The following is a 9,567-nucleotide window of genomic DNA, read 5'->3' as shown; positions in this document are numbered from 1 at the left end:
GCCCCAGGGCAGGCTGGTGGAGGAGGACCACTGGGTGGGGCTTGGCTGGGGCCCTCAAGGACAGAGCCCCCTCACTCCCAGCCCCAGCTGCTGGCCTTGGCTGCAGCCTGGGGGAGCTGATTACAGGCTCTCTGTGGGTGGGGAAGGAACAGGATGCTCTCCCGGTGGTCAGAGGACAAGGCCAGGTTGGGGGAGCGAGGCTGTGGGGAGGGGACCAGCATCACTGGGGCCGGACCACCTCCCCACCGACCGGCCCCCGTCATGTGCACCTCATAACTGCTAGAAAGATGTGGAGAGTGGCCAGGCTCAGTGGCTCACGTCTGTAATCCCAGCACTTTAAGAGGCCAAGGCAGGAGGATCACTTGAGGTCAGGAGTATGAGATCAGCCTGGCCAACATGGCGAAACCGTCTCTATTAAAAATACAAAAATTAGCCTGGTGTTCTGGCACATGCCTGTAATCCCAGCTACTCAGGAGGCTGAGACAGAAGAATTGCTTGAAACTGGGATGTGGAGGTTGCAGTGAGCTGAGATCATGCCATTGCACTCCAGCCTGGGCGACAGAGCGACTCCGTTTCAAAAAAAAGAAAAATGCGGACAGAGACAGACATACAGAAGGAAACTGAGAGATGAAGGCCGAGAGAGACTCAGAGAGAGAGAGAGAGAGAGATCCCTGTCCCTGCTCTCTTAGCCCCAGAGGGCCCCCTAATTTGGTAGAAATAGGGAGGGAGCTGCTCTGGGGTCAAGCAAGACTCGAGTTCCAGCCCAGGTTCTCTCCTGCCTAGGGTCAAGCATCCTTCCCTCTCTCAACCTCAGATTCCCTCCTTGGAAAAACAAAGCTATAAGACCCCCTAGGCATGAAGCGGGGGCCAAGCATCCACTGAACAAATAAATCCTGCTCTATTCTGGGTCCACCAGCCCCTGCTCACCCAGAGGGGACAACCGTGTTGGGGAGACAGAGCTTCGGATGGGACACCCCCAGCCCTGCGTGTCAGGCGCCTTGAGAAGACCTGGGCTCTGCTCAGCCTCCTGTGACCTTGGGCAAGTTTGGGGTCCTTTCTCTGTGCCTCAGTTTTCTTTTTTTCTTTTCTTTTCTTTCTTTTTGTCTGGTGAGGGGACGGAGTCTCTGTCCCCAGGCTGGTGTGCAGCGGCACCATCTCGGCTCACTGCAATCTCCACCTCCTGGGTTCAAGTGATTCTCCTGCCTCAGCCTCCCGAGTAGCTGGGATTATAGGCATGCACCACCACATCTGGCTAATTTTTGTATTTTTAGTAGAGACAGAGTTTCACCATATTGGGCAGGCTGGTCTCGAACTCTTGACCTCAAGTGATCCACCTGCCCCATCTTCCCAAAGTGCTTGCATTACAGGCATGAGCCACTGCACCTGGCCTGTGTGCCTCAGTTTTCTCATTTGTACAGTAATAGAAACAACAAAATTCTGAACATTTCTGGTCTTGGAAGATGCCCGCTGTCTTCCCCCCTGCCCCCCAGAAAAGGCAGGATTATTACTTTTCAGTTGATCTATTTCATCTCTTTAAACTGGTTAAGACAATAGCGAAGACTTGGCCGTGTGTGGTGCCTCACACCTGTAATCCCAGCATTTTGGAAGGCCGAGTAGGGAGAACCACTTGAGTTCTAGATGAGCCTGGGCAACATAGCAAGACCCCTGCCTCTACAATTAAAAAATTAAAAATGGCCGGGCGCGTTGGTGCACGCCTGTAATCCCAGCACTTTGGGAGGCCGAGGCGGGTGGATCACTTGAGGTCAGGAGTTTGAGATCAGCCTGGCCAACATGGTGAAACCCCGTCTCTGCTAAAAAATACAAAAATTAGCCAGGCTTGGTGGTGGGCACCTGTAATCCCAGCTACTCAGGAGGCTGAGGCAGGAGAATCGCTTGAACCCAGGAAGCAAAGGTTGCAGTGAGTCGAGATCGCACCACTGTACTCCAGCCTGGGTGACAGAGTAAGACTCTGTCTAAAAAGATAAAAATAAAAATTAAAAAATTAAAAATTAGCTGGGCATTGTATTGCAGGCCTGTAGTCCCAGCTACTCAGGAGGCAGAGGCTGAAGGATCGCTTGAGCCCAGGGGAATGAGGTTACAGTGAGCTATGATCCTGCCATTACAGGCCAACCCAGAGAGATCCTATGTCAAAAATGAATAAATACCCTGGTGTGGTCGCTCTCGCCTGTGATCCCAGGACTTTGGGAGGCTGAGGCGGGAAGATGACTTGAGTCCAGGAGTTTGAGACCAGCCTGGGCAACATGGCAAAACCCCATCTCTACAAAAAAAATACAAAAAATTAGCCGGGTGTGGTGGCGTGGGCCTGTAGTCCCAGCTACTCAGGAGGCTGAGGTGGGAGAATTGCTTGAGTCAGGGATAGGGAGGTGGCAGTGAGCCCATATCGTGCCACTGCACTCCAGCCAGGGTAACAGAGCAAGAACTCATCTCAAAAATAAAAAATAAAAATAGGTGGCTGGGCGTGGTGGCTTACACCTGTAATCCCAGCTACTTGGGAGGCTGAGGTGGGAGAATCACTTGAACCCAGGAGGTGGAGGTTGCAGTGAGCCGAGATCGCATCACTGCACTCCAGCCTGGAAGACAGAGCAAGACTTTGTCTCAATAATAATAATAAAAATAATAATAGTCCAGGCACAGCTCATGCCTGTAATCCCAGCATTTTGGGAGGCCGAGGCAGATGGATCGCTTGAGGTCAGGAGTTGGAGACCAGCCTGGCCAACATGGCGAACCCCAGTCTCTACTAAAAATAAAAAATAAAAAAAAAAAAATTAGCCAGGCATAGTGGTGCGCACCTGTAATCCCAGCTACTCAGGAGGCTGAGGCAGGAGAATCGCTTGAACCCGGGTGTCAGAAGTTGCAGTGAGCCGAGATCAAGTCACTGCACTCCAACCTGGGTGACAGAGTGAGACTCCATCTCAAAAAAAAAGAAGAAAAAAATAAAAAAGAAAGACTCGTTGCCCAGTGCTCCCTCTGGGAGAAGTACATCCAAGGCCCTGGCCCTGGGAGAAAGGCTCTGGCACTAACCCCACCCTTGACCTTTTTCCTGGGCGGTCCTGAAGAATGTTCTGTCCCTTCTCCAAGGCCCCCAGCTGGGACGGCCCAGGCGCCTATAAAGGGGGTCCCCGCTTGGCCCCGGCGCCACCCACCACCATGGACCCCCGTCTGCCCGCCTGGGCGCTGGTGCTGCTGGGCCCTGCCCTGGTGTTCGCGTTGGGCCCCGCGCCCACCCCAGAGATGCGTGAGAAGTTGTGCGGCCACCACTTCGTACGCGCGCTAGTGCGCGTGTGCGGGGGCCCCCGCTGGTCCACCGAAGCCAGGAGGCCTGCGACCGGAGGCGACCGTGAGTGGGGACGGGCAGGGACAGCGCTCTGGGAAGCCGAGGTGGGGCAGGTGCACGTAGGCGCAGATGCACACGTGCAGGGAGGTGGGCAGGTTTGCATGCATGTGCCCAGGGCTCACCTGCCGGCTGCGTGCACAGATCGTGGGTCCGCACTGGAGTGTGTGTGAACGCGCGTGTGAAAGTCCCCAGAGCCGTTAGCCAGGCGTGGTGGCTCACGCCTGCAATCCCAGCACTTTGGGAGGCTGAGGCGGGTGGATCCCCAGAGGTCAGGAGTTCGAGACCAGCCTGGCCAAAATGGTGAAACCCCATCTCTACTAAAAATAATTTTTAAAAAAATTAGCCGGGGATAATGATGCACATCTGTAATCCCAGCTACTTGGGAGGCCAAGGCAGGAGAATCGCTTGAACCCGGAAGGCAGAGGTTGCAGTGGGCCGATATCATGCCATTGCACTCCAGCCTGGGCGACAGAGTGAAACTCCGTCTCAAAAAAAAAAAAAAAAGAAAGTCCTCAGAGCATGAGTCCCCCTGAGGGGCCAGAAACAGAGTGAGGCAGGAGAGGTAGGCTCTTGCAAGTACATGGTGAGATCCTGTCTTAAAATTTCAATATTTTGATCTTCATGAATTTTTGCCTTAATTTTGCTTTGTTTGTTTGTTTTTTGAGACAGGGTCTCACTCTGACGCCCAGGCTGGAGTGCAGTGGTGAGATCTCGGCTCACTGCAGGCTCAACCTCCTGGGCTCAAACCATCCTCCTGCCTCAGCCTCTGGAGTGGCTGGGATACAGGTGCTGCCACCACACCCAGCTAATTTTTTTTTCTTTTTCGTAGAGAGGGAGTCTCACTCTGTTTCCCAGGCTGGTCTCAAACTCCTGAGCTCAAGTAATCCTCCCACCTTGACCTTCCAAAGTGTTGGGATTAGCGATGTGAGTCACTGTGTCCAGCTTTAAAAGTATTTAAAAGTATTGCTTTTGAAAAGTATTGCTTTTCACAATTATGTTACTTTATTTTATTATTTTATTTTTATTTATTTATTTTGAGACATAGCCTCGCTCTGTCACCCAAACCAGAGTGCTGTGACGTGATCTCGTCTCACTGCAACCTCTGCCTCCCGGGTTCCAGCAATTTTCCTGCCTCAGCCTCCAGAGTAGCTGGGACTGCGGGCACGCACCACCACACCTGGCTAATTTTTGTATTTTGTTTGTTTGTTTGAGATGGAGTCTCGCTCTGTCACCCGGGCTGAAGTGCAGTGGCACGATCTCAGCTCACTGCAACCTCCGCCTCCTGAGTTCAAGCAATTCTCCTGCCTCAGCCTTCCAAGTAGCTGGGATTACAGGCCACTCCCCAGGTCACCCACTACCATGCACAGCTGATTTTTTTTTTTTTTTGTATTTTTAGTAGAGACAGGTGAACAGGTGAAACAACAGGTTTCACCATGTTGGCCAGTCTGGTCTTGTTTTGTTTTGTTTTGTTTTGTTTTGACATTGAGTCTCGCTCTGTCCCCCAGGCTGGAGTGCAGTGGTGTGATCTCGGCTCACTGCAAGCTCCGTCTCCCGGCTTCACGCCATTCTCCTGCCTCAGCCTCCTGAGTAGCTGGGACTGCAGGCGCCTGCCACCAAGCCCAGCTAAATTTTTTGTATTTTTAGTAGAGATGGGGTTTCACCATGTTAGCAAGGATGGTCTCAATCTCCTGATCTCGTGATCCACCTGCCTCGGCCTCCCAAAGGGCTGGGATTACAGGCATGAGCCACTGTGCCCGGGCCAGGCTGGTCTTGAACTCCTGACCTCAGGTGATCTGCCCGCCTCAGCCTCCCAAAGTGTTGGGATTACAAGCGTGAGCCGCTGTGCCTGGCCTTTTTACAAATATTTTAAATTTTATTTTAAAAGTATTGCATTAAAATACTTACCTTGCTGGATGTGGTGGCTCATGCCTGTAATCCCTGCTACTCAGGAGGCTAGGAGGGAAGATCACTTGAGGCCAGGAGTTTGAGACCAACCTGGGCAATATGAGACTCAGCCTGAGACAGAGACCCTTGTCTCAAAAAAGGGAAAAATATTAATATTATTATTATTATATATATATATTTTGAGACAGGGTCTCACTCTATCACCCAGGCTGGAGTGCAGTGGCGTGATCTCGGCTCATTGCAACCTCTGCCTCCCAGACTCAAGCAATCTGCCCACCTCAGCCTCCTGAGTAGCTGTGACTAGCTACTCTCAGGCTGGTGAGACCAGCCTGGCCAACGTGGCGAAACCTCGTCTCTACTAAAAATACAAAAATTAGCCGGGCGTTGTGGCGCACACCTGTAGTCTCAGCTACTCAGGAGGCTGAGGCAGGAGAATCACTTGAACCCGGGAGGTGGAGGTTGCAGTGAGCCAAGATCACGCCACTGCACTCCAGCTTGGCAACAGAGCGAGACTCCATCTCAAAAAAAAAAAGCTGATGCTGACATTTGGGGATGTATATGGTAGTGGGGCTGTCCTGTATATTGTAGGGTGTTAGATAACATCTCTGTCTTCTGCCCCCTAATGCCATGAATAGCCTCACACCCCATCCAAGTTGTGACATCTAAAACTGTCCCCAGACAAGTATCCCCTGGAAACAAAATCACCCTGGTTTGAGAACCACTGGTGTCAATTGTAAACTGCAGATTGGGTAGAGGGTAAACAACCCTCTAAATTTTCATAAGTCCTTTTTTTTTTCTTTTGAGACAGTCTTGCTCTGTCACTCAGGCTGGAGTGCAGTGGCACGATCTCGGGTCACTGCAGCCTTGCCTTCCCAGGCTCAAGCGATCCTCCCACCTCAGCCTCCCAAGTAGCTGGGACTACAGGCATGCAGAATTATGCCCAGCTAATTTTTGTATTTTCTGCAGAGATGAGGTTTTGCTGTATTGCCAAGGCTGGTCATGAACTCCTGGGCTCAAGCAACGCACCCACCTAGGCTTCCCAAAATGCTGGGATGACAGGTGTGAGCCACGGTGCCTGGCCTCAAAAAAATATCCTGATGGCTTCGTGCCTCCCTGTCTGTACCCTAGTCCTGGCCCTGGTGCAGGGATATACGACAAGTTTGTGCAGATGTGTTAACACGTGTCCACATGTCTCTGTGTGCCACTCCACTTGCGGTGTTAGGGATCCAGGGGAGGTGGTCTGCAAGGGTGTGTCCTCGTAGGGGTGTGTGTGTGTCTGTGGGTCCACCACACATGCGTGGGTGACCAGGAAGTGGACCCACAGACACATGTACACCCCTGCATGTCTCTGTACCACGAGGAGTCTGTGGGTGGGTCTCTGACCTGCTCTGGGTGTCTCACGGACCCTTGGACCTGTTGGGGAAACTGACACCATCTGTAGCTCCAAGACCCCCGACACTCCCTGGGCAGGGCATGGGGCACTCAGGTGGCATATGGGGACCCACGCAGCTGGGGATGTGAGTGTGGACATGAGTTGAGTGGATGAGAGGATTAACCAGGTGCCTGGCGTACAGTAGGTGCTTAATAAGTGCTCGCTTTTTTTTTTTTTTTTTTTTTTTGAGATGGAGTTTCATTCTTGTCACCTAGGCTGGAGTGCAATGGCATGATCCCAGCTCCCTGCAACCTCCACCTCCTGGGTTCAAGTGATTCTCCCACCCCAGCCTCCCCAGTAGCTGGGATTACAGGCGTCCACCACCACGCCTGACTAATTTTTGTATTTTTTAGTAGAGACAGGTTTTTACCATGTTGGCCAGGCTGATCTCAAACTCCTGACCTCAAGTGATCCACCCACCTCGGCCTCCCAAAGTGCTGGGATTACAGGCGTGAGCCACTGAGCCGGGCCAGTGCTCACTTTTTTTTTTTTTTTTTTGAGACAGAGTCTCACTCTGTCACCCAGGCTGGAGTGCAGTGGCGTGATCTCGGCTCACTGCAAGCTCTGCCTCCTGGGTTCACGTCATTCTCCTGCCTCAGCCTCCTGAGTAGCTGGGACTACAGGCGCCCGCCACCACACCCGGCTAATTTTTTGGTTGTTTTTTTTTTTAGTAGAGAAGGGGTTTCACTGTGTTAGCCAGGATGGTCTCAAACTCCTGACCTCGTGATCCGCCCACCTCGGCCTCCCAAAGTGCTGGGATTACAGGTGTAAGCCACTGCACCCGGCCAGTGCTCACTTTTTATCTGCATGCATGAGTGTTTGGTGGGTTACTCAGTGGGATGTGTGTGGATTCGTGCACATGCAGCATGGGGTAGCATGTCCTCTGTCGTTTCCGTTCCAGCTGAGTTTCACTCTGTCCCCAGGTGAGTTGCTACAGTGGCTGGAGAGACGACATCTGCTCCATGGGCTGGTGGCCGACAGTAATCTCACGCTGGGACCTGGCCTGCAGCCCCTGCCCCAGACCTCTCACCATCACCGCCACCACCGTGCAGCTGCCACCAACCCTGCACGCTACTGCTGCCTCAGTGGCTGTACCCAACAAGACCTGCTGACCCTCTGTCCCTACTGATTCCTCCTTGGGTGCAGCCTCAGAGTGGCCTGAGGCCCAGAGGGTCTGGTCTGGTGAGCTCCTGAGGCCACACAGCACCATAAAGTCTCGCATCTACAGGCCTTTGATTACCTCCTGGGATGGGTGCTCACTATCTACCCCAGACCAATGCCACCTGCAGCCTGTGGAGTCAACTGCAGAATAAATCACACCCTAGCCCTGGCTTGGAGGATCCCCGCTTTCACAGATGCTGGACACTGACAGCCAAATGTCCTCACTCCAGGGGAGCCCCAGACGCTCCGCTCCCTGCATGTGTAACACCCCTTCTTGCTGTCTCTTAGTAAATAAACGACCCAAAGCAGCTTCCTGCATTTTCTCTAGAAAAAGGGACAAGCCTCAGTCAGTCCCTGTGTGGGCTTGTCCCCCAGCAGCCATGGACCCACCGGCACTTCCAGGAGCTTGATAACTAGAGAGGCATTGCAACGCAAAGTGGGGAAACTGAGGCCCAGGGAGAGGGCTGCTTGCCAAGGTCAGACAGGGAAGGGTAAGTGCAGGACTTGAACCGAGGTCTCTACCAAGGCCCATGGGAGTCCTTAGCATTGAGGACTTAGAATGGTAGACATTAGACACAAAACAAATGTCAGAAAATGATCATCACAAAACACATTAGTCTTTTTTTTTTTTTTTTTTTTTGAGGCAGGGTCTCACTCTGTCACCCAGGCTGGAGTGCAGTGGCACAATCATAGCTTACTGCAGCCTCCAACTCCTGGGCTGAAGTGATCCTCCCACTTCAGCCTCCTAAGTAGCTGGGATTACAGGCACCCGCCACCACACCCAGCTAATTTTTGCATTTTTAGTAGAGACGGGGTTTCACCATGTTGGCCAGGCTGGTCTTGAACTCCTGAACTCAGGTGATCCGCCCACCTCGGCCTCCCAAAGTGTTGAGATTACAGGCATGAGCCACGTGCCTGGCCCAGTCATCGGATTTAGGGTCCACCCTAATCCATGATAACCTCATGTCTGTCTATAAAGACCCTATTTCCAAATAAGCCCATATTCTGAGGTGAATTCTCAGAATATGAATTCTCAGAATATGAATATGAATTCTCAGACATGAATTCTTGCCAGACACTACTCAATCCAGTGGAGCAGGGGAGCTGGGACTCTCCCCTGATGGCAATAGGGAGCCACAGAGGCTGTGTGAGCAGGGGCAGAATGAGGTCAGATGTGCCTGTCAGAAAGCCCTGCAGCCCCATCTCATCCAGGCCTGATTTGCAGGATGGTGTCTCATCCTCCCAACTCCCTCCAGTCCCCAGAGCAGCCATTTTTAACCACCTTTTTTTTTTTTTTTTTTTGGAGACTGAGTCTCACTCTGTCACCCAGGCTGGAGTGCAGTGGCATGATCTCGGCTCGGCTCACTGCAACCTCCGCCTCCCGGGTTCAAGCGATTCTTTTGCCCTCAGCCTCCTGAGTAGCTGGGACTACAAGTGCACACCACCACGCCTGGCTAATTTTCATATTTTTAGTAGAGACGGGGTGTCACCATGTTGGCCAGAATGGTCTCAATCTTCTGACCTTGTGATCCACCCACCTCGGCCTCCCAAAGTGCTGGGATTACAGGTGTGAGCCACCACGGCTGGCCTATTTTTTTTTTTCTTTTTTTTGAGATAGATTCTCACTCTGTCGCCCAGGCTGGAGTGCAGTGGCTCAGTCTCAGCTCACTGCAACCTCCGTCTCCCAGGTTCAAGTGATTCTCCTGCCTCAGCC

The 9,567-nt window shown here is 52.4% G+C and overlaps 1 protein-coding gene across 2 annotated transcripts; it reads left to right on the top strand.

Annotated features, from left to right (window-relative positions):
- INSL3 (insulin like 3) lies at positions 3,156-8,163 on the top strand. 2 transcript variants are annotated; one of them, NM_001265587.2, is made up of 3 exons: positions 3,156-3,358; positions 4,185-4,279; positions 7,616-8,163. In NM_001265587.2, exons 1-3 carry the CDS (start codon positions 3,169-3,171, stop codon positions 7,802-7,804), a joined length of 474 nt encoding a protein of 157 aa, NP_001252516.1. In that variant the 5' UTR covers positions 3,156-3,168; the 3' UTR covers positions 7,805-8,163. The 2 variants fall into 2 exon arrangements, with proteins under 2 accessions (NP_001252516.1, NP_005534.2); NM_005543.4 differs by lacking the exon at positions 4,185-4,279.

Source organism: Homo sapiens, chromosome 19 (genome assembly GCF_000001405.40).
Source record: "Homo sapiens chromosome 19, GRCh38.p14 Primary Assembly".
Classification (NCBI taxonomy): domain Eukaryota; kingdom Metazoa; phylum Chordata; class Mammalia; order Primates; family Hominidae; genus Homo; species Homo sapiens.
Note: the sequence above shows the minus strand (reverse complement) of the source record. Positions and strands in the feature narration are given on the sequence as shown.